Genomic DNA, 26,306 nt, shown 5'->3' on the forward strand with positions numbered 1-26,306 from the left:
TAAGGAATACGTACAATAAAAAGAAGACGAAAAAAAAAAGATTCTGGAAGGCCATCAAAGACTTAAAAGAGGGCATTCCGTGGCCAGGCAGAAAATGATAAAGGATCCGGGATTTATGTGCTTAGGAGAATTGAACCACACTGTTATTACAAAGCCATAACAAAACCCTGGCTCAAGCGCCATTCTGCCTGTAAGTGCAATTTCTTAAATGGAGACTAGATTCACAGGGAAGACTATGATTTGTTTGGGATTTTGTCCCCAAAGTGTAAGAATAGCTTAGGCATTAGGTATTCCTAATTTGTTATAACTTGTGAGCAACTGGCTAAGCTGGCAGCTGTAAAGAGGCCAAGACTGCAGTGGAGTCTAATAAAAACCCTAATAAAAGTTTTAAACTAGTTCACACATCTGCAGTCTAACGGGGGGTATTACCTAATATGTGCCATCACTGCAGCGGCCCCACCCCACACCGCTGGCTACTTGCTGGAGAATGAGGGTGGGGAGGGGTATTGGTGCAACATTTCCCCCAGGCAGAATTTGCTGCTTCTTAGAGAACCACAACCATCTCCACAACCATCTTCAGATGGACCTTGAGGGGATTTATTTAAAGAAATATAGCTAATTCTCTCGGGTTCCCATAATTTGCACTTGCAAAAATTCTTTGAAAAGGGTTGAAGCACGCCTCTTCAATGTATAGATATCTTCACCAGGAGACAAGAAATTGATGTCTGGCATTTTAATGCCCCCTTGCAAAAATAATCAACTCTACCCCCAGGGCCTCAGCAGCAGCAGTTCAAAGAGTGCTCCCCTCCAAGTGCTGGGACTGTATGATTTCACTAGAGTGGAGGAAGAAGCGGGAAGCCGGTGGTAGGAGGTGGAAAGCCCAAGATTTCTTTCCATGCTTTGAAAATTAATCAAGAACCTTGAGAAAATACAAAAGGTAGAATTTTAATAAAAAATCTAAAGCTTAGTAAATTGTTGATATTAAATGCAAAAAACATTCTTTTCCCATTCCAGAAAAAGTATTATATTTTTCTAAGAGAAAGTGTTTGCACCATGAGCTGACATTATAATATGTTTAATTAGGTGATTCTAAAGGTTATTCTAGCACATGCATAAACCAGTCCAGCATAAGGCCGCATCATTGGCTCAGTCTCAAGAGAGGGTGCGCATGACACTTAGCTGCTAACAGTAGCAGCCTTCAAGGCCTGTGCCCACCAAGAGCACATAGATCAAGTTGGCTCTTAGAGTCTAGTCACACATTTATATTGAAAGGTAGACAAGCCACCTTCTGGGACTTTTCCAGAGCTTCAAATAGTCTCCCTTCTCTCAGCTCATCAAGCTTAAAATGGTTTTCTTTGTTAGCTTTCAGCCACCCTTGCCTTCCAGACTAAGGAGATTTGAAACTCCTCTCCCCAGGTTATGGAAGATACAAAGGACTTTTCAGTTCACCATATTTTCCTGAAAGAAAATCTCTCTGTCTCATAAAAGCAGCCCCAAACCACACAAAAGCCTGGGGCCGGGAGAATGAGAGAGCCCAAGCCAATTCTCCCTTCAATCACTTTAACTCAACTCGCTGCTGAGAACTGCGAGGTGTCCTGTGTCTGATGATTAGCATCAGGTGATGCCAGGGTGCCAGACAATTAGCAAAATAACCTGCCTTATTCTAAGAAGGGGACTCATGGCAATGAAATTATTGTCTTAAAAATAAATGTGTTGATTAGGTCTTTGTATTTGTGCAAGCACTCTCAGAAAAAGAAATAGAGGCATGCTTCTAAAAAGGGCATTTTCGAAGAAAATACCATCCTCCTCCTCTTGCCCAGCCCCACCCACCCAAAAAATAAAGCATTATTACATTCAAATCCACTAGGGAACAACGACCAAAAGTATGTTAATTCCACTTATAATCTCTGTTCTATAGTTGTGCTTGTCATCATCTTTTTCTTTTCCTGTTCTCTAGAGGAAAACTAGAATTGCCTGAATTTGAGCTATTATTTTCTGACAATTTTAAATCACAGAACATTTCTTCTTCTGCAATGTTTTTATTTGTTCTGTTTGCACATCAAGTAGCCTATTTCCTCTAAATAACACAGTATTTACTCTAACACAACAAGTAGCCTGGGCGAGTCCAGTTCTGTTCTCATTTGCTTTACGGGTGTCTGAGGTACTGGCTTCAGGTTGTCTGGAAGAGACCCCATGAGGGTTCAGGAGGTCAACATCTGAACTACATCTGGGGCCTTTGGATTAGTATCTACACATTTGGGTTAAGACACCTTCAAAAAGGGATGCATGGGAGTCACTCACATTGTAGCTAGTATTATCCGCATTGAGTGAAGTAGTTGGAGTTTAAGGAGGGTCATTCACACAGGTGGTAGAAGGGCTAAGATTCAAATTCAGATCTCATTGGTTCTAGAACCTGCACACTCAAGTCCTTCATGATACATCTCCCCTATTAGTAACATGTAACAGACCCAGAATTTCTGGCTCAATGCTCCAGAAAGCAAGGAAACTCTAGGATAAAGGGCATTCCCTTGCCTTCTCTAAGTGCAACTTGCAACTACACCCAATTTCCCCCACCCTCGGCTCTAGTGCATTTTCTAGCTAAGAGACATACATGTGTGACTCAGAGACATGGTATCCAAAGAGGTCTGGAGCAGAGGCATTGAGCAGGTTCTTTTTTTTTGAGACAGAGTCTCGCTGTCGCCCAGGTTGGAGTGCAGTGGCGCGATCTCTGCTCACTGCAGGCTCCGCTCCCCGGGGTTCACGCCGTTCTCCTGCCGCAGCCTTTTGAGTAGCTGGGACTACAGGTGCCTGCTACCTCGCCCGGCTAATTTTTTGTATTTTTAGTAGAGACGGGGTTTCACCGTGTTAGCCAGGATGGTCTCGATCTCCTGACCTCGTGATCCGCCCGCCTCGGCCTCCCAAAGTGCCGGGATTACAGGCGTGAGCCACCGCGCCCAGCCTGAGCAGGTTCTTTGAGGAGGTACCTACCAGTCCACAGGTGTGAGTCAGGCAAGAGGAAGTGCAAGAGGAACTAAACCAGGTAGGAAGTGGAGCCCAGTATAGGCTGCGACAACTACGTGTGGTAACGGGCCCCAGACATCATGGAGAGAAATTAATATGTATTTAAGAACACTGCCTTTCCATAATAGAAGACATTTCATTGCCAATTACCAAGAATGTCTTGAAGTGTCAGAACTGGGCTTAGATGAGGACTCTGGCCAAATAAAACTTTTCCTGGGGCTTGTTATCATTATTTTTCAGTGGCAATGGTGACTCAGGAAACAATCTTTAGAAATTTTTTTTATCACCTAGATCTGCTCAGTCGTGTCCTTCTGTTGTGATGCCGCTACTCCTGAGTTGGGCCCATGTTCTTTCCAGTTTTCTGAGGTCACTATACTGTGCTATTCAGAGGAAACAGCAGATACATACCATTCTCCATTCCAGGCTACAGCTTCAGTCCCACCACTCCAGCCAGGAGGCCCTCAACCCTGGCTGCAAGTTAGGATTATAGAGAGGAGACTAAGACCAGCATGAATGTCATGGTAAAACAAAATAAACATGTCTAGTGTTCTCAGTAAAGAATGATTACAAAATATGACCTATTCACATATTTAGATAGGATTCATCTCTAGACATGCCCCCAGCCTGTAACAAAACTATTAAAAATTAGTCCATGACGCATTAAGTTTTCACTAGAAAGCCAGCTATGATATATGGTACAAATGAGCAAAAGTTGAAGCTCTGAGTTGATGTAAAAGACAATTGCGTGTAATTTCTTCCACCCTCTGCCCTCCATGTCTCTCAAATGATCAGTGGGAAGCTATAATACACATTTATCCACAATTACAATGCTGTTGAAATAAAGAAAATATTGTAGACAAAGAGCTTTTCCATTTTAAAAGTTGGAAGGTTATTTGCTTACTTCTTATCCATATATATTTAATTAGATGTGGATGCACCTGCTTGGCCATTTTGTACATAATTTGATTTTACAGTGCCTTCATAAAAATAAGAAAACAGTGGCCCCTCTGGATGACTTCTTGGCAAGAGGAAGATACTTTTTTACAGAAGAAAAAGGTGGTGCCTTCCCCCTTCTTCCAGGTAGGACTGAGCACAGCCTGGATCACATCCCCCACTCATTCCCTCCATCCAGCATTTATAGGCAGGGCTTGGAATGTGCAACCCTAAACATGTAACCCCAAAGGATCGCCCACATTCAGTTCACAATTATTCTTTTACCCAGCTTCATTCGATGGAAAATCTCCAGGAAACATTTCAGAAATTGGTCATAATTTTTCAGTTGAGACTAAGTTTGGGAGGTTTCTAGCATTTAATGAGAAGAGACCAGGGATGCTAGATGCCTTACGAAGTTCAGGGAAGAACCAAACTAGAAAAAATTGTTCCACACCTTCATATTAAAATATATATATATTTAAAACACTTTTAACTGGTACAATTACCTGAAGCTTGACCCTAATTCCTTTATAATTAAATTAAGTAATCTACTTAATAGTTTGTATATATATTAATTTTCCAAAAATGCAGCTACTGTATGAATGAAGAGAAGACTGTACATTGTTACCTTACAAAGATTTGCTCAACATTTTGGAAAATTATGCCACCAAGAGAAACTCAGGTCATAGGATTTTTGTTTCTAATACAAGATACTTGTAATTGTTTATACTAGTAGTTGTTCCATTCATGATGATTGAACATATGTATGCATATATATCTTTAGATCTTGTTTCAAAATATCAAATATAAGATAATAGCAACAAGATTCAGCTGACAATTTGAAATTGGATTATATAGCTTTGCCCTTAAAAGAGAAGTTATGGAAATGCCTTCTCTCCCGATGTGTTTTTTCTAATGAAGTAACAAAGTCATGAAGATTAAAGAAACATTTTACAAAGAAACATCATAATAAAGTTGTCAAAAGTGTGTCACATTTCCAAGGGATCTTGTCCCTGGAATACTCACAAATAGTCTTTTAATCAAAAAAAGGATGAATCTTAGCAATAGAAATGATTGCTAAATTGTGGTAAGCTACACAATATTGGAGAAAAGCTAACTTTACTAGCTATGCAAGAATTTAGTAAAATCATCATGGAAAAAATGCAAATAATTTTTTTTTTACTGTTCTTTTGAGCAGTGTTACTGTGTCCAGAAGAATTTATGGCAGTGTTGAAAAATTAGCCATGTAATGAACTGCAACAAGTAAGTTTTTATGTCAAGTATATGAAAGCATCTTGTATGACAATGAAGATTTACTGCTCATATACAAAGATCTGCAAGGAAAAAAAGAGTAGTAGATAAACTAGTATTTTCAAAAGAACTGATCAAGTACAAAAAAAGTATGTCAGTAGTTAGAATTGTTAAAAAATGTTAAACAGAAAAATAATTTCCTTTCCAGTCATTGACTGTACCATAGAAAATGGGACCAGCTATGATTTGCCAATAAGGCTTTGTAAACAAATTAAAATACCACCATGTTTTAGCAGTTCCTTCTATTTTTCATCAATGACTAGTAGGTAAGAATCTTGGTGAAACATTTCAGAAATCAATATATTGTTTAGTCTTAATAAAATTAAGACATCTATGAATTATTATTTAGAAACCTATGAATTGACAAAAATATTAAAAATTTTATCCAACATAATAAGTAATCTTATAAGTAAGATAGCTCTTCAAAGGCAACTGCTTATCAATTTTATGCTTACTATTTGACAGTGTTGTAGAATTATTGCATCATTGATAAATTAGTGACAAATACAATACCAAAATTAAAATGTTGAAAAATGTTGAATTTATTTTTTAGAGATAGTTGTAAAGTTAAATGAGGTAATTTTGAGATGCAAGGAAATGAAATCAATCACATCAATGTGAAAGAAATATTTATGGGAATTATCAAGAAACAGATTTCTTTAAAATAATCTTTGTCACTGAACATTTTCATTATTCTTCTTTCCACCTACCGAATGAAGTTAAGTGTAATACTATTTGGAAATATATTACTCTCATATGGATGCTACCAAAAGATGAAATGTAACTATCTGAATGAATAAGTGATTAATGCATGATCTATTCATTTGAAATGGAAAAAGGGCATGTCAGCCAACACTTACAGAGTTCCCTGAGGGAGGAAGAAAGGACAGGGGCCCAAGAATTTAATCATTCTAATCACAAAGTTAACCCACTCCTTTTCTTGTTTGTTTGATTTTTTCAATTTTAATATAATGTTTAATGAATAATATGTTTAATGAAAATAGTTTTAACATCATTTAACATTTATTCAATCTTTCTCTTAATCTGTTTAAAGGACTGATGTCTACATTGCCAGGGCATATAGCTATTACATATTATAATCCCTTCTTTTTAACCCTCATTTGGTTCTAATTCTATAAGTAACTATATATTTACTGCTCACCACCAGTACTTATCATGATTATCACCAGTAATTTTGGTTATGTGATGCTCATTCTTTAATACTTTCCTTCAAGTGTTCATGGGATGGAGATATCTGAAGTTCTTGCCTGTTCGTAACAGTTGGCTTCTCCTCTTTACAGTTAAAAGTCCCTTTTGTATCACACCTTGATTATGTCTAAAAATTTCTCTAGAATACATCCTAGTATTGATCATCTGGCTTAATATTCTCAGGTGTGTGATATATTCTTTCAATATGCAGTTTCTATTATTGTTGTTGCTGTTTTGGAAAAGTTCCTCCAATTATACTGTTGGGATTTGTCCTGTCTCTTGGCTTTTATTCGGTTCTTCAGGGACTCCTTCATTTGCTTTTTTTAAATTTGGCCTCTGTTCAATCTTTGTCACTTTCCCTTGAATCTTTTTCAAGTGTCTCATTGTTAGTGTTAAAATTTTAGATTATTCCATAATCTTCATCTATTTTTCCATAAGGCATTATCTGTTGTGTGTATTCACTCATGTTTCTCCTGCAAACCCACTTCTTTAAAGAAAGAAGTTGAATTACTTATTAGAGCATTTTGAACCTCATATTCAGGGAGAATGAGTTTCAGTGCTACATCACAGTTAATACAAACTACAGTTGTTATAAATATATTGCAATGGTCACTGTAAAGAAGCCTTAAAACATACAACGAATATAAACAGTGTGAACAAATTCCAAAACAAATATTATCAAATTGGTGGAGTCACATGAAACAAATATACTTTTGTTTTAAGGATTATTTTTAAAGTCTTTCATGTTATTGCTATTCTATATATGTACAGAATATATGTATTGTAGCTTAATGATAGGAAATTTGTGCTGCAAAAAAAAATGCCTATTTATTTTGCTTGGGTTGTCCATTCTCTTCTAAATGTAGTATTTATTGAGTCAGTTGTTATCTTAGAAAGTTAGAATCATAGGTAGTTTATGTTTTCATTTAAAACATTATATTTCATTTAAATGTGAATCTCAACTTATCACAGTCTGCCTTCAAATAACGTTATACTCACTTTACAAGTTAACACAAGAAGCTTACAGCAGGAATTTTTCATTTTCCCCTTGTTCTTTGTGATATTATTGCCATTTATTTTTCACTTCTATATATGTTACAAACGCCACACTACCTTGTTGTTTGCTTTATATAGTCACAAACATTTGGAGAAATTGAAAAACGAGAAGTCTTTACTATTTGCCTCGCATTTACCAATTCCAGTGTTCTACCATGTTGATTAAGTGTCTCAGTGGTATCCTTCACCTTCAGACAAAATAATATATGTTAACATTTCTTGTAATACTTAGTGAACAATTCCCTCAGCTTTTGATTGTGTGAAAATGTCTTTTCTCCATTTTTTAAGGATTGCTGATTGAGGATTCTTAATTAACAGAGGTTTGTTTTTCTTTCCTCTCCTGTCTTCTGGCTTGCTTGTTTCTGATAAAGTCAGTGCTAATTGTTACCTTTGTTCCTGGCACACAATGTGTCTTTTTTCCTCTGGCTGCTTTTGAGAATGTTTTCTCTTTCTCACTTATTTTCAGGAATTTTATTACAATGTGCCTCTTTCTTTTAAAACAAAAATTCTAGGTTCAGGGGGCCATGTGCATGTTTGTTATATAGTTAAACTCATGTCACAGGGGTTAGATTCTTTGTGTTTGTCCTACTTTGGGTATGTTGGGTTTCTTGGACCTGTGTGTTCATAGTTTTCATCACCAGGAAATTTTTCGAGCATTACGTTTTCAAATTTTTTGTATTCTTCTCTTTTCCTAGGACCCCAATTTACACATTTCTTAGACCTCTTACATTATCACAGAGCTAAGTGAGAATCTGCTTTTTCTTTCCATCTTTTTCTTTCCATGCTTCAGTATGGAAAACTCCTATTGTTATGTATTAATGTTCATTGATCTTTTTTTCCTCCAGTATCTCTTCTGCTATTAAGCCCATCCAGTGAATTTTTTTCTTTCAGATATTGTGCTTTTCATCTCTCATTTTTAATCTCTATTTTACATGTATATCTTTATTTAAATGCTTATTAATTCCAACATTTCTACAATTTCTGAGTCTGTTTCTATTCATTATTTTTTCTCCAGATTATGAGTCATATTTTTCTGTTTCTTTGTGTCAAGCACATTTTGATTGATGTGATTAGATTGCTGATTTTTTTTTTAATTTTGTTGTCTTTCTTTAGAGATCATTGAATTTTTGTTCCAGCATCAATTAAATTATTTGAGGATTAGCTTGATTCTTTTGAGTCTTGATATTAAGCTTTGTTAGGTCAAGCCTTGACTAACTATGTGGGGACTACTCCTAAGACATGGCTTTGCAAGGGTCTCTGCTGAATGTTCTGAGTTTAATGAGATGTTTCCACTGTGACTATACTAAATTCAAACCCTACCCACTTCTCAGCCCTGTGCATGCTGTAGTACAAGTTTGTCCAACCTGCTGCACACGGGCTGCCTGCAGCCCAACACCATAAACTTCTTTAAAACATTTATAAGATTGTTTTGTGATTTTTTTTTTTTTTGCTCATCGGCTATTGTTAGTGTTAGTGTATTTTATGTGCGGCCCAAGACAATTCTTCTTCTTCCAGTGTGGCCCAGGGAAGCCAAAAGATTGGACACCCCTGCTCAAGCCAAAAGATGGGACACCGTTGCTCAGTTTCTTGTTCTTGGGTACTTGTTCTTTGCCCCATAGTTGTTTTTCTCTAGTCTCATGGAGTTACATCCTAGATTCAAAGGGACATTTGATGTAGATTTCTGGAACTTACTCTTCATCTCTCCTTTCTCTCTGGTTCTCTAATCTCTCTAGGCTCTGATCTCTGGCTGTCAGCTCAGCAAGATGGCTGTGCTTCATTTAGCTTCCTGCTTTCTGTGCCATGGTTCCAGGACATGCTTCCAAATTGTAAACCAGAGTAATCATTTGACACATCTTACTCGTCTTCCTTCTCTCAGGAATCACAGTCTTGTGTTGGCTATTGTCCAACACCTGAAAACATTTTTTTCATATATTTTGTACAGATATGCATTGTTTACCACAGGAACTATTTCCTCAGTTGTGACCGGAAGCAGAAGTGAGTTGCCTATGAATTTTAATTTTTTGCTTATACTGCCCCCAGAAGCATATCATAAAACAGTTTTCTACAGCCTCCTATTTGTATTACTTTTTTTTTCCTAATCCACTCTCTGCTCCCTACCACCTGCCAAAATATTTGGTCTTCAAAGTCTTAATAAATACCAGTAACTGAAAGTATTCCCCAACACGTGGCAGGATTTTAAAATAGAAGATATGTTTTCTGGGATACTCTGTCATTACTTTGCCTAGGTCATTCCATATGAATTATTTTGACCCTCCACTTACAAGTAAGATACAGCTCATTTGTTGGACTAATTCCTCATTTTCTCCACTTCGTTGGTCTGCAATTTTTCTTGGCATGTTATCCCAACTTCAATTAAAGTTACTTCTCTCCTTCCTTTATTACACACAAATGAATCTGGGTTGGTATAACCTATTCAAACACTACTTTTTATTTAGTGTCACTCATAGCTATACTATTTCATTTTCCTGCTTTTCGTGTAGGGAACGATTTCTTACTTTCTTGTTGAAAAACCCAAACTTATTCATTGTGAAGTTGGGGCAATAATCTGACTACTTCACTATATTTTCTAAGTAGTCATGTCCAAGCACTTACATAATTAAATGCATGTTATTTTGTGATAAAATGTTTTTCTTGTATTTGTCCTTTTTGAGGGCAATAAATTTATGTGTAGATATTTTATTAATATTTTCAAAATTTTATATGTAGAAAGAGTATACTATTTGTTACTTCTCTTACAGTATAGCAAAAGGGGCATTACAAAATATTGGCTAGAAGACAGCATTGAGTCTTATAGAGTTAAAACCCACTGATTTACTTAACAACTTATTAATTGCTTTCCATGTCCAAAGCATTGTCCTATTGGAAATATAGAAGCAAAATGGATGTTGTCTATGGCCCTGATGAGTTCACAATTTAATAGGAGAGATATCCTGGAGCTTCGTGAGTATAGGTCACTTACAATATTTCTTCTTCCTAGGACAGCCATTGACACAGAGAGGCTGGTTAATAAATGCACATTGAATTAATGAAAGTCAATTTTCAAATAGCTTAATAAAGGGCAATAAGTAAAAAGTGAACCAATAGTGGTACAAGTGGAATACCATAGGAGTTTAGAAAAGAAAAATATCAGATCTGATGTGACCAAAACAGGACTCTTGGAGGAAAGGGCTTTTCATTTAAACCATGATGCATAAACCAGATTGACATAGAGGCAGAGGCCAGGGGTTCCAAAGTGAAGGACAACCCAAAACTCACAAATGAAAGATTACACAATATGTTGGAAGAATAAGTAGCAACCAAGTTTGTCTGAACCTTAGTAATCAAGTTCAAGTAAAGGAGTCACAAGGCTTGAAAGTTAGTGCCAGCCAGATTGCAGAAGAAACTACACCACGGACAGCAGAAACCAAGGTTCATTTCTGACACAATAACAATAATGCCTTAGGAAGATTAATCTAGCTGTGTTATGTAGGAAAACTATGATGTCAAGGAACAGGGCTTAACCTAGGGGATATTCTTATATCAAATGCCTCACCAAATATGTAAACCACAAAGAATCTCCTTTTTGAAACTAGTAAACCTCAGGATGACATTATTATTTTTAATATCCTGTACCTGCAAGGAGATGAAGAGAAATGAGATAATATTTATGTCATATATGTGTTTATGGAAAAAAGATACAGCGTTTGAAATAAAGAATAATGTAATGGGATAATAAAGGCTCATTCTAGTAACTTGAACATTTTCTTCCTCTTCATTCTCCATTATAGACACGTTTAATATCACCCTGGTCATAAGGTGCGGGCAGCTAGGCAAAGTCATGGTAGAGTAAGTTTCAAAAAGTCTGTCCTCAAAGAATTTCTTATATAAGAGAGAACAGACTCAGATACGTTGACTTTTGTTATTAATTTAAGAAACGGCCTGGGCGCAGTGGCTCATGCCTGTAATCCCAGTACTTTCAGGGGCCCAGGTGGGTGGATCAAGAGGTCAGGAGTTCGAGACCAGCCTGACCAACATGGTGAAACCCCGTCTCTACTAAAAATACAAAAATTAGCCGGGTGTGGTGGCATGGGCCTATAATCCCAGCTACTCAGGAGGCTGAGGGAGGAGAATTGCTTGAACCTGGGAGGCAGAGGTTGCAGTGAGCCAAAATCACACCATTGCACTCCAGCCTGGGTGACAGAGAGAGTCTCCGTCGGAAAAAAAAAAAAAAAAAAAAAAAAAAAAAAAGGTCTAAAACTGTATTGTCAGCACAAGAAGAATGTAACTGGATGCAGTTTACTCTTTTATATTCTCCTGGATACTTTAAATTTCTTCTAAGTAGCAGAGACTTGAGAGTTATTCCTCTGTTTTAGATAATTAATCTCAGGTACCCGTAGAGAAACAGACTTTAAACTATAGAAGCATCTTATGCATACCTCCCTAAAAGCCTTGTTCAGTTAATCTCTTAAGGTTTGCCTTTACGACAACAGCTAATTCCATTTTACTTATTCTAAAGCCCAGGCAGTGAGATGAAGTCCCCCTCTGCAGACCCAAGCCAAAAGGACACACTGAGTCTGGAGAGTGAATTAAAATTTTCACTGGTCAGAAGACATGGAGAGCTTGGTAATCTTGTGGCATAACATTAGATTCTCAGCTCACACCACAGAAGTCCATTATAGGCCTCAGAAATCCCCGGGTTACTTCTGCCCCCACTTCCTATGAAAATAATTACTAGTTCATGCCCAAAGATTAAAACAGCCACAGCATGAAACAACTTCAGTGTTCCTCTTAGCCTACTTATTTGCTTAAGCCTCCTTCCAGAATATCCCATCAGTCAGAATTCCAGGCAGTGCTTAAAATGTGCGAAGTTGCTAAGCTTTCATCTCTGACTATTTTGACTAGGTCCCAGTCTCTTCCTCTAAGTGGGGTGTGATTTTTATTTTCATTCTTTCTCATATAAATCATACCTCTCTTCCATTTAGTGTCTCCTGTTTTAGCTATGGTAACCAGGCATAAGATCGCTTCCAAACCGAGTAGAAAAAAAAAAAGAAAAAGAAAGAAAGAAAAGAAACCGATTAAGGGTTTTTTCTTAATCTGAAAATGAACAAATAAAAACTTCGAACATTGAGTGGGCAAGAGAAGTAAACAGCATTCATGTGAATGGATGGGGCAATTCAAATTCACTTTGGCAATTGACATGAACAATAATGGCAATTAATTCTAATAAACCTCAATGTAATGAATCTTTGGTTTTGAACTAATTGAACTGTGATAAATTGGAATTATGCTAGTAGTAAAAGAATAATAGCATAAAAAACATAGAACTAGTATGATTTCATGTCACTTTTGAAAGAAATAGTAAATAAAATTGAGTTGATTTATGGGTGTCAAATCAAGGCAGGACAGTATAGCATCTAAAAGTTTGAATTGTTGTGAATTTGTAAAGTAGAACCTCAGTAAAACATAACAGAGTTCATAAATTAAGACCGTTAGCATGACTTCATACTATAAAATCATAAATATTAAAAATCTAATCTTTATTGAATGCTTACTATGTGCCAAATGACTGCTTTCTATGCTTTTTTCTCATTTACTTCTTCTATTTTTTATTACATAATCCTGTCCATTTTACAAATACAGAAACTGAACTTTAGGAAGAGAAAATAGCTTACATAAGTGAACTAGTGGGTGGTGGGGCTAGTGATCAAAACTTAAACCCTTGTTCTTAAACACTGGGCTATTTATTTTGCTTACCCTTTATACACAATGGTTAGATGAGATATGAGTTCCAATCACATCTCCCAAGTGTTTTAGTAGACTCCTGCCGAATTTGTTATTATCTATTCAATAGTTAAGACTACATTTGGTTTTCAAGCAGCATTAAATACAACTTAAACAACGTTTCAAAAAATTGAGGAAGGTTCATTGTATGATTTCACATGAAGTTGGGGGTACCTGGTTACTGAAGTGAGTTAAGGAGCTCAACAGTGTTGTCAAGGACCCATGCTCCTCTGTCCATTCACCACTCTTTTCTTATGGTTAAAATGGTAAAATTTATTTTATGCATATATATATCACAATTAAAAAATGAAATTTAAAAAATCCTAATATATAGACTTTTGTGTCCTTAGGATATTAGATGCTAAATTTTTTATTCTAACAGAAGTATGTCAAAAGGGAGGGCCCCAAAGAAATTCTCCAAGTCCCATTAAGTTCACATATATCTCAGGGTAATTTTCAGAGTGCCGCAAACATTACCTGCCGGCTTTATTTCTCTTGAGGCTGAGGTAACCTATTTCTGTGAGGACCCACTAATATAGACGAGTTAATGGAAATTACATTCCAAGATTGGAACATGTCAAGAAAGAGGCAGACGGAATAAAGTTAGTAAACCATTCACCATTCTTAACACCGAAGAGTGCCATCTCAGTACAAGATGGAACAGAGGGCCAGGCATCAGGCCGGTGTTCAAGTCAGAAATGAAGGTGGAAGCCTGGAGCTAGGGACATCTATCCCTTTTATCAGGAAATTGAAGGCTTTCTCAGAAGTCTCAGCAGATTCCTCTTATATTCTATCGCCCAGATCTGTGTCACGTGGCTATACGTAGCTTCAAGGAATGCTGCAAAGGCAAGCAATAATTTTGGCAGGTCTAAAAGTGCAAATGGGCAAAGGAGAAGAGGACCAGGCATGGGCACAGGACTAGCCACCCAACAGTATTTGTGGAAAGTAAATATTCAAAGATGGTGTCTTCATCTGTTCAGGCTGCTGTAACAAAAATAACATAAACTGAGCTGCTTAAACAAATAAAAAATTATTTCTTACAGTTCTAGAGACTGGGAAGTCTAAGATCAAAGTGCCTCCCATTTGGTTCCAGGTGAGGGTTTGTTTTTTGGTTTGCAGACAGATGCCTCCTTGCCGTGTCCTCCCATGACAGAGAAAGCAAGATCTCATATCTCTTCCTTTTTGATAAAAGCATTAGTCCCATCATACGCGCCCCACCCTCATGACTTTATCTAACCTTAATTACCTCCCAAAGGCCCCACCTCCAAATACTATCCCATTGAGGGATAGGGTTCCAACATATGAATTTGAGGGGGATATCACATTCAATCCATGGCAGAAGGGATTATTTGATCAATATAGTATAAATTTCATTAACTGGTGTTAGAATTCTTCTAAAGCATATTTTTTTCAGAGATGGGGTCTTGTGGAAAGCAAAGAAACAGTTTTTATCTTGATAACAGTTGCTGAAAAATGCCTATATGCAGGTAGTGTCTGGACCATACTGACAGTTAAGCATGTGTAGTTCATACCCAGGTCTCTTAAGAAGTATGGAGAGTGGATGCGGAAATAATTCAGATTAATCTGCACATGAATATAAGATAGTATATGATGCATACTATGAAAAAGCAAGTAAAATGCAGCAACTTTAGTGGAAGGAGAAATGATTTTTTACTGGGAAAAAGTTTTGCTACAAAAAAAGCACGTGCCTATTTTGTAGACAGAAAAGACTATCCTCAGAGAAATGACTCTCTAATGATAGAGTTTCAGATACTACAACAACTATGTAAAAGAGATAAAAATGCCAGCATAGTATAAACATCAAAAACTGCCAGAGGAGTAAGAGTCTGCCCTGACAGTGTTTCAGCTACACCCCATTGTCAGAATGTGGATCGTACCATTCGAATTCCCATGTGTCCACATGAATGTGAGCATTCTTGATAATCTCTTATGTTTAGATACCACAATGGGGCACCCTCAGGGATTTTCCTCTCCCTTAATCATTTCATCAGTTTGAGATTCTAGTGTGGTTGGGGACCAAGAATTGTTTGGTATGTTAGAGAAGCACATAACATTTTAATTGTGCTTGGAGACAGCGAGACTGAATGAGGGAGAGTAATTAAGAAACATAAATAAACTAGGAACTCTGCTTTGCCTCACATCATATCATTATGGCTCAGAATGAACTGCTGAGCTTTACTATGAGTGAAAGAAGCAGCCAAGGCCACTGATTTTGGAACAAGAGTAAGGACTATATGGAATATGTAAGGTGAAGAATAGAGGCAACTACAGTGTTATTGTAATTATTTTTTATTGTACATTTACTTCGTTTATCATAGAAAAACACACTAATTATGTGCGGGGTATATGGCATGTGCTCTGGCCTTAATCCATGAACATCATTATATCATTTTTTATTATTTATTTATTCATTTATTTTTGAGACAGTGTCTCACTCTGTCGCCCAGTCTGGAGTGCAGTGGTGCTATCTCGGCTCACTGCAAACTCTACCCCCTGGGTTCAAGTGGTTCTGCTGCCTCAGACTCCCAAGTAGCTGGGTTACAGGCTCCCGCCACCATGCCCGGCTAATTTCTGTGTTTCACCATCTTGGCTGGGCTGGTCTTGAACTCCTGACTTCAAGTAATCCACCCACCTTGGCCTCCCAAAGTACTGGGATTTCAGGCATGAGCCATCGTGCCCAGCCAATATACATTTTTTAAAATTAATTAGCAAATTAAACCTGTGAGATGGATACTCTCATTCTCTCCATTTCATAAATGAAGAAAATAAGGCTTGGAGAGTTCAAGTGACATACCAATGCTTATGTATTCCTTTCTAGGTGCTTAGCAGGTACTAACAGCCATTCAGTGGCAGATCTTGCTTTCAATCATGACCTATCAGACACCCAAAGCCATAATTTTAACTATCATGTAAAATAATATTTCTGTAACCCAGAAAAAAGGCAATAGAACTCAGATTTTGAAAAAATTTTGGCAGATTCCAGTTCTAGAGAGGATAATTATCTTGGACACAAGCAATTAAATGTAAACATGTATAATGTGAAATATTCAAATATACATTGAAACTGTCCCTGAATTGGATGCATTTATTAGTGGATAAATGTATTATAATAATTTATTAATAGAGAATAAATTAATATACTTATTACTAAATGGATGAGTTTATTAAGATACCTAACAATATATTAAACAAGCATATAAAGGCTTGTTTTCATAGCAGCATCATTAATGCTGCTAAATGTCCATCTCTGTGCAGATATTGGCAAACCTTTTCTCTAAAGACCAGACAGTAACTATTTTCAGCTTAGCGGGTGATAGAGTCTCTGTCATAATTATTTAACTCTGCCTTTGTGGCATGAACGCAGCCATAGACAATACATAAACAAATGGGTGTGGTTGTGCGCCAATACAATTTTATGTATAAAACAGGCAGAAGTGAAATTGGGCCATGGTCCAAGGTTTGCCAGCCCCGATGTTAGATAGCTAAAGTGATCCCATTTTAGGGAGAAAGCTCTAAAAGAGTGCTAATATAGAAAGCAAGAAAAACAAATAGATATATTTAAAATTTAAGCAACACTTGAATCTCATTTTTATAAAGGGAGGGAGTCAACACGGTTTTCATTTTCACTTTCAGTAGTATTAACTAATGATTACAAGGAAAGAAACTTATGTTAAATTACAAAACTAATTTATAAGGCAAATTGTCTAAACTGTCAGATTATCTAAACATCAGAAGGCACGTCAGAGGCAATAATAGTACACAAAATAATGTTTAGAAGAACCAGAATAAAGCTCACCACCAGTCAATCTATACATATTTAATGACCGTGCAATATGTAAGTTCTATTGCAGAAATGCAAAGATAAAAAAGAAGGCAAAAGAAAAGAAACAAATATTAGAAAATTAAATTTAGTTTATGAGAGATTATCACGTGGTTATTAAAATTGTTTATTTCTATGTAATAGCCTTCTCTCAATATAACAAAGAAGAAAATAGATCAATCTCCAGGAATTAAGATTTTTAACCATCTGAAATAATAAGATGGATGCATATAAACTCTTGAAATTAGTTTCACCTCTACTACTCTAGTTTTGTGAAGCAGACACTAAAATAAATATATATGTGTGTTTGCATGTGTGTGCATATACAGACATAAACATTTATATGTATGTTACTTAATTGTTGTTCTCTGTATAGTATATGTAGTGTGTAAGTTATATGTGTGTGCATATATAAATACTGTGTCCAGATACTATATATATACACGTACAGTGTTCATATATGTAGTGTTTATGTAGACATATATACCATGTGTGTTGTATATGTAGTATATATATACACATATGTATAGTCATCCCTCAGAATCCACCTGGGATTGGTTCCAGGATCCCTATGAATAACAAAATCCACAGATGTTCAAGTCCCTTGTATAAAATGGCATACTACTTGTGTGTAACATACACACATCTTGCCGTATACTTTAAATCATCTCTAGAATTCTTATAATACCTAATGCAATGTAAATTCTATGTAAATAGTTAAACTATATTTTATTTGTATTACTTTTTATTGTTGTATTATTATCTTTTCCAAATATTTTTTATCTACAGTTGGTTGAATTCATGGATGTGGACAGCCAACTGTATTGTATGTCTATATATATATACACACATATGTATATACTACATAAAGAATGAAGAATAAGTAATGTACAGATTACAAACATTTCCACATTATTCATCTCGTTAAATCTTCACATCGAAAGGTAATACAGAAAGGGTAATACAAAAAAAATTTAAAAACTTGAGTGAAGATAACAACAAATAGATCTGTAATGGAGAGACCAAGTCAACTTTACCTGTAACTATCAATCAGTGTGAGTCCTCTTTTCCCCAACAGATGGTGTGGAAGGAGAAAAATGGGAGTACATCATGCTGCGTTCCAAATCGTTTATCATCTTAAAAATGTGGGAAAGCTAGAATTGGTAAACAAGACTTTTGTAAGCATGCATAAAACATATTAAATATTTGGTGGCAAGGGATTTCCATGAGGCTTTCATGGGAGTTAATAAATCAACAGAAACCACTTACCGAAACATTTTCATGGGTCCAGTGGAATTCTAAGCAAATATCAGGTTTAAGAATGAAAAGTCAGTTATATTTTCAACGTAATCTCACGTTCAAAGAAGTGTAAAAGATGCTTAAGTGTTAATATTTTATGTTTCCCCACTCTCAGCAGTAAATGCAGCCCATTAAAAAGAATGCTAAGCCATAGCTGTTAGCACTGGCAAGGGACCAAGGAAACACTGAACCTTCACAGAAGGGGGTTAATTGCTACACGAAGAGGTAATTTATTAAGGAACACTGAAGCCCTGTATATTCCCCAATGTGAGGCTGAACAGCAAAATCTTATGTGAATATTACATTTGATAATCAAGGCCTTTTCTATGGCAGACTTCAGAACTAGCTAAGCTAAACAAAAAGGGGCAATGGAGGGGAAAAAGGGAGAAAGAAAAAATTCCAACACCATTTTTTCTCTATGGCTCCCATAAACCTTTACACGGTGCCCTCCAGTCTGCCGCCCCCACCACCAGGAAAAGTTTGCTGCTCCATAAACCTCTTGGTGGCTGATGAGAAAGTCTCACGTAACTATCAGGTGCAGGGGCAGCTTCTACTGTTTTTTATTTGTCCAGATCTGATGCTTCAGTATTCTTCCGAGTGTCAAACTTAATTTTCACCATTTGTCAGAGCAATGTTTTCAGAACCTTATCATGTTGAACTAGACCTTCTTTTCCATCACAGTTCAGACCAATATCACGTGGCCTATTAAACATCAAGTGTGAAGAAAATAGTGGCCCCCCACGTCCCATGCCTAATGTCTTCCTTTTGGCAGAATTTCGTTCTTAGTCCAATGGGCGCCTTGTTCTGTCCTGAGCTTATGATTTTGTCAATGGCAAAGGTTCAAGAGACAAGTAGAGTCCAAAAGCAAGTGTGAGGGCCAAAGTGGCTCTGAGAAATCATTTTACCTAAGAAGCTGATGATGTTCTTGGCGGCACTGGCAACGGATTTTGGAGTCTCAGAGAACTAGGGTAGGAGAATTAGTTTTACCTCTTTGTCTTTCTTTTTTTTTTTAACATCTCCAACAGCAAATTGTCATTGAAGAAAAATTCCCTTGGGAAAAAAAAATAGAGCAAAGGAGAAACTGGTTGTTCCATCTTTTTTATTTTGGGCTTAGTCTTCTAGCTATCTCTAATCAAGCCCTCAAAAAATGAGTATTTATGGGGTGCAGATCTTCCTCCTGGCACTGGGCTGATAGAGGTGATAGAATACAGAAAGCATATAAGACGTGGCCTGGTCCAGCCCTTAAAGTGTTCAGTATCATAGGAAAGATTTGTTTTAATAATCCATGTGAAACAAATAACAACTTTATAGTATCTACAATAGGGATAACAGAGAGAGAGCACTTTGAGAAGATTTGAATGGGTCCTTATTCTTCTTCCTTGTTGAGCTACTCTTCTACTTCACTTTGTATTTTTATTTATCACCCTTCTCCATGTATTCTATATCTTGCGGGCCTTTTCTTGTCCCTGAGCTGCACATGCCCAAAGCCCTATCTGGACCTTTCACCACCCACTTAACATCATGCAATCTAGAAGCCTCCATGATCAAAATTATGTCTCACACTTGCAACTAATCCCCCTAAGACACCCCCATTTCTTCAATATCAATGGTGTCAGTGGAAAAAAAATACCAATTAAGCTACTTTACACAAAGCAGTAGGTGTCCGAAGCATCCCCTTTTTCCATCCCCTTCTTCTTCTTCACATATTTTTCTGATTGTTGACTTTATATGGGAATATCAAATTCTAAGACTAGATCCTGAGCATGTATCACATGATAGGGTGACCAGGTGTAAACCACGGGAGGGGACTGAGAGGTTTCTTTCACAGCTTCTGAGGACTATCCATCCACCATCCCACTTTAAACTATCATCAAGTTTCATAACTGTTCTTGCCCTTTTTTTATTTGGAGTTTGACAGCATATTGCTATATTTCATATATGATCTTATGGCAAGGGAGAAGAGGAACCACTCTTTCTATAGAGCAAAGGGAAGAGTATGCCCTAAGCCAAGAGACCACAATACATGTTCTGTTTTCCAGCTCCCAGTAGGGGATGTACCTGTCTCTTGGAGACCCTTAGGAAACGAAAGACAGGAATGGTTCCTGTTAGACAAGAGAGAAAAGCTTGGATCCCCCAGGATGCAGACTGGTGTGGCTTCCTAGGATCCTCAAGATACTTTCTGTTCTCCTTTCTTTTCTCTCTTCATTTAGAATTTCAGATACCTATCTTGGCTACATATAACTAATACTAAGCATGGTAATTTACACATGAAAAACATTTTCAGTAATTTTTTATATTTTTTAATTTTTTCAGCTAGTTATGTTTATTTCTTTTACTGCATAAGTGCTTTCTTAATTGGATTAGTATATCATCCAGTTAAAGCAGCCTCTATTCAGGATTATTTTTCACTTAGGCCCTCATTTTGGGCAGATTTGAAAATCACATTAATAATCACTATTAAGCTCATAAGATGAAACCAAACCTACACATACATGCACATTTCCAACGACTGCAGACTTTTGGTTTTTAATCTGATTTTAAAGAAAGCCTGTGTTAGTTATTTTCTGCAAGTACTCCATTGAGGAGTGTCTTATCCTTTCAATCTTGAAGTTTATCTTGGAATTTATCTAAAAGGAATTATTTTGGTCACAAGGGTCAACACCCCTTTTCTTTCTTAATCTTTGTTTTTAGTTTTCTTTCTAAGGAATTGGAAGAAAACACAGGCAGATGAGTAGTTAAGCAATCCCAGAACTTTGCATGTCACTTGGCCCAGAACCAGGCACATGTAAAGGTCTTCACTTGCCAAAAACACACCAGGGACCTCTTAAGCAATCAAGAATTGCTACATGTGTGCAAGAGCTAACATCTTGAAGACAATTGAAATTGGTAATTCAGTTACCCTTTGTTTCTCATACATTTACCCTCTGAGCATCTCGACATGCTGGAGCATGGAGATCCAAACTGGAAACCCTTGAATGCTCCTTCTGCTTGTGGAAAGGTGACAAGGGCATTCCTTCTTGTTCACAACTGGGCATCATGAAGAGGAATGGAGGACTGGTGGAGGACTGGACTCTACTCTCAAGAATCTCTGGGGAAATGAGAAAAAAAAAAGGGAAACAGCGACAGAAGAAAAAGCAGCAAAACAAAGGACACACTAAAACCAAGAAGAGTGAAATAACAAAAGGAAGCCAAAGAGAAACTCAACCAAGGGTCAGGTTCTACTTCTTGTATAGTTCTTTTGGGACCACTGATAACATAAGTACATAAGTAGGAACTGATCCTCAAAAAATGGGGCCTTTATTTACATGAAACAAGAAGGACTTATTTTTGCTCGTGGCATTTGTTCTATTTAAAGGGAAGTGAACTACCTCCAGTCTTTCCCGCATATGAGTATTCCACTTCTGAAAATGGGATCTCAAATATATAAGACATTATTCACTACCTGCATTTGATATGAGAAGAATTAAAGTATTCCCAGCAGTTTTATTCACATTTATTATAGTGGGCCAGGAGATTTTCCATAAAAATGAGTAGCTCCCAGTGGGGAAAAAAATGTATAGAATTTGCTGATCTTGAACACAGTGTATTTATATAATACGTTTTATCACCCATAGGCCTTACAGAGCTAGGTTTTCTCCTGGGAAGCACTGTTAATATTTCAACCTCTGTATATGCCAAATGGAAACAAAGATTATTTGAAAAGGTAAATACCAGGCTTTCATTCTTCCTGGCACAATACCGATGCTGCATATTTAACTTGAGTTACTAAGAAAACTGAGGGTCTTTTGCAAGATGTGGCAACATTATGCAAATGACTAATTCCAGTTAAATTCTTTTAAGTGAAATATGTTACTCAGCGGTCTTTTGATTGCAAGTGATAGAAAACTAATCAAATTAACTTAGAGGAAATTTACTCATAGATAATGAAGCATCTCACATTATCAAATGAAGGGTTAAATAACCAATTCACTGGAAGGACGAGAATGCTGCTAGCCCTCAAAAATAAATGCAACCAGAGTTTCAAACAGTGAGGATTTTCTGTGTCTCTTATGTTGCTTTTCTCTGTATGTCAACTTCTTTCTTTAAATTTCCTCCACAAGGCAAGAAACATGCCTTCTGGCCAGTCCTAAGCATCAAAGCATCATAGCTAACAGCTTTTAATAACAAAAAAGATTTTACCCTATTCTTTATTCAAATACCCAGGCAAAGGGTTCTGATCGGTTTGGCTATATCGGGTGCTCATCCTGTAAGCCGTAAAGTGATCCTTGCATCAGACTATCAGAATATGCTCTTTCCTCATGTTCCGTATGCCTCCATCATATGATTGTTTGGCAAAGTAAGAGTGAATGCTCTCTTCCTTTCAGTTCAGCACCAAGAGCAGCATCATGGTAAGTAATTTAGGAAGCATAAAATCAATGTGGGAGTCCTAGTTGGTCTACTCGTGAGCTGAGACCTTCAGACAAATCGCCCACCTCTTTGAGTTTGAGTTTCGACCTCAATAGAATCAGAGAAAGAAGCCCTTTCTCAAAAGAAGGGCTGACTGATGCAACAGCATGGATGAATCTTTCATTCATTACACTGGATGAAAGAAACTGGGAGCAAAGGAGGACATAGGATATCATTCTGTTATGAAATTCGAAAATAGAGCCAGGCACAGTGGCTCACACTTGTAATCTCAGCACTTTGGGAGACTGGAGCAGGAGGATTGCTTGAGCCCTGGAGTGTGAGACCAGCCTAGACAACATAGAGAGATCCTGTCTTAAAAAAAAAAGAGAGAGAGAGAGAGAGAAAGAAAGAAAGAGAAAATCTAAAAGAGGCGAGACTGTCTTATAGTGACAGAAACTCAATCAATGGTTACCTGGGTTGTGTGGTGGAGACTATTGAATGAAGAAGACATGAGGTAACTTTCTGGAAAAATTAAAATGTTCTACATCTCGATTCAGGTGGAGTTACGTAAGTGTATATATTTTGTCAAAAGTCTTTAACCCATACACTTAAAGTGTGAGAATTTCATTTTATGTAAATTGCACCTCAATAAAAGTTGAGTGTCTTTTAAAAGTATATCAGAGGCTTGAGATGAGCATGAAATGACGCAGGGCACATCAAAGCACTTTTTTTTTTCTTTTTGAGATGAAGTTTTGCTCTTGACGCCTAGGCTGGAGTGCAACGGCAGGATCTCGGCTTACTGCAACCTCCGCCTCCTGGGTTCAAGCAATTCTCTTGCCTCAGCCTCCTGAGTAGCTGGGACTACAGGTGCCTGCCACCACACCTGGCTAATTTTTGTATTTTTACTAGAGACAGGATTTCACCATGTTGGCCAGGCTGGTCTTGAACTCCTGACCTCAGGCCATCCACCTGCCTTGGCCCCCCAAAGTGCAGCGATTACAGGCGTGAGCCACTGCACCTGGCCCAAAGCACTTTTAAATCATAAAATAATATGCATATATCCTTGTTTTTTACTCCGTTTAATAGTATCTGCGGATAGTTGTTTAGTTAAGTCAGGACGCTGATACAGCCAACTATTAGTCAGACTCTACTGCTATAAATTCCTCCTGCCTCTTTAGGCATATTTTATCTTTGCTCTTCCCATTGCAGGAGTCCACTCAACTAAATCCCAGGTAATAAGGCCTTTACAGTTATCCCAATCCCTGGTGACACTTGCAACCATTTGATCTGCAAGGAAGACACAAATTGCAACACGGACAAAATATACACAGCACAAGAGGCATCACTAAAGACTCTTGCCCCATAGGGAAGTAAGTGCTTCTGAGCTTGGTGAGTCTGGGTTACTATGGGTTTCAGGTATTTATCACTGCTTAATAAATTACCTCTAGATGTAGGGTTTAAGACAGCAATAATTTACTATTTCTCCTGACGCTGTGGGTTGGCTGGACTCAGTTGGGTCCTTTTCCATGAGGTGTCAACTGGGGTCAACCATGTGGCTGCATTCAGCTAGGAGCTTAGCTAGGCCTGAAACACCCAGGATAATACACTCACATATTTGGCACCTCGACTGGATTGGCTGGAATGGCTGGGAGCTGGCTGGGAGCTGGCTGGGCTTCTCTCTTTTTACATGTAGAAGTCTAACCCAAGCTTTTCTCATTGACACCTAGATACCAAAAGGAAGAAAACAAAAGTTGCAAGTCCTTCCAAGGTCTGAGCTCAGAGGCACCAGAAAATCATTTTCACTGAATTCAGTTGGTCAGCACAAGTCATAAGCCCATCAGACTCTACTGCTTGACAGGAGCTTTGTCATTCATGCTGGGAGATGGGAAGAATTGTTGGTGGACATCTTTACCAACAATATACAGCACTCTGCCATTCATTTCTTCCACCTGTTATAAACAATTAAGTTCAAGGTCAGTCAGCCCCACAGATGTAGGCCCCAAAATAAGGGACTTATTTGCCCATGAATGGATTCATTCAAATCACAAGTATTAAAAATTCACTATGGGCCAGGTATGTTGTATGCTAGACATATCAAACAAAAACTCTTCTATCACAATTAGTCAGGAAACCACCTGGTGTGTGGAACTGTGGGTTTGGTAAGGTCGGCCATGCCATTACCAAATCACATGAAAAAGAGTTCCCATTTGTCCAGATTTTGTAAATAGCAGAATACTTTGGAGATCAATAGGCCTTTCTTCTGGCTCTAAGAGGTACTTCCTTCTATTCCCTTAGCTGGATGATAATCTTTTCTCTTTTCAAGGAATACTAAAACACACAGTAAATAAATATAGACAAATAGATGTTCATGTAAATTAAGAGAGGGTCTTTTGAAGATGAATCGAGTTCATTTTTATTCCATTAATCATTCCATGATGGTCATCTACCCATTCCATAACAATAAGTGCTTGCTATCTGCTACATTATAAGCACTTATCTTTCCTAGCATAAGGGAACACCCCCTTTACCTATCTTTTCCTTAAATTAACAAAGTTTCACTGCCACCTTTCCATTTTCATACGCTCGAGGTCATAACTCAAAAAGACTTAGCCCTGAGGGTGGTGGGGACTGAGACTGGGAAGAAAGCCTACCAGGAGAGGTCTAAAGCCAGGGTATTAAGATTCCGTTCCTTCAGGTGTAAAGTGTCCTCCTCGGGAGTGCTGACTGTCCCAAGTCTCCACTTGCCAACTTCTCCTAGGTCTCATCCACCAGTCTGGTTCCTTTGAGCCAAATGTGCCTTTTCCTTCTCTTCTTCTCTCTCCAGACCAAACTTTACCAATTCTTATGACTTGTGCTGACCAACTGAATTCCTTGAAGGATTAACTGAATCACAGAAGGATGTTAGAGATTGACAGAAGCCCCCTTTGTTTGCATTTTGATTTTCAGGGCAGACGCAAATGATCTCTAAGGCATGAAACTCTAATGGCAGCAGGCAGAGGCATGAGGGAGAGGCACTGGGGCCAAGGTCTCACCTCAACATTCCTCAAGTCATAGGACGTATGCCACTTTTATCTGCACATCAAATAAATCGGCAACTCAAAAAAACTCCACTCATTTTCTCCTGGAAACTTTTATTTTTAATGTTTGGTAAATGAATGTCAAGAGACATTTCAGAAGAGAGCAGTTGATTCCTTGCAAAAGCAGGCTGCTGAAACACCCTCATTTGTTTTAGTCAGAAGCCTCTATGACAGAACTTTGGTTTCTGTGAATTGATCAAGTCCAAGAGCTCAAGGGGGCGATGAGGTCAAGGTCACTGCAACACTGCCTGGCTGGGGTTCAGCTAACTGTTGATGTGTGGGTTTCCTTTAACGATGAGGAGCAGACTAATAAACAGAACATGCTATATTTTGGAAAATGAATGAAGCCCAGTACTGGGAGACTCTTGGGTGGAGTGTGTATTAACCCTCTT

At 37.6% G+C, this 26,306-nt stretch overlaps 1 long non-coding RNA gene across 1 annotated transcript in view, besides 1 other annotated feature; it reads right to left on the reverse strand.

The window, feature by feature from the left end:
* Positions 1-26,306, reverse strand: part of LYPLAL1-AS1 (LYPLAL1 antisense RNA 1) — a 122,167-nt gene that overhangs the window by 42,456 nt on the left and 53,405 nt on the right. The gene's annotated exons all lie outside the window — the stretch shown is intronic.
* Positions 23,870-25,069: an enhancer, noted in NCBI's record as "CDK7 strongly-dependent group 2 enhancer chr1:219674825-219676024 (GRCh37/hg19 assembly coordinates)". NCBI's record gives its function as "activates an origin of replication core promoter dependent on BRD2, BRD4, P300/CBP, MED14 and CDK7 cofactors, with strong dependence on CDK7, by STARR-seq in HCT116 cells {active_cell/tissue: HCT116}" and the evidence as "EXISTENCE:reporter gene assay evidence [ECO:0000049][PMID:35650434]".

Source organism: Homo sapiens, chromosome 1 (genome assembly GCF_000001405.40).
Source record: "Homo sapiens chromosome 1, GRCh38.p14 Primary Assembly".
NCBI lineage: Eukaryota > Metazoa > Chordata > Mammalia > Primates > Hominidae > Homo > Homo sapiens.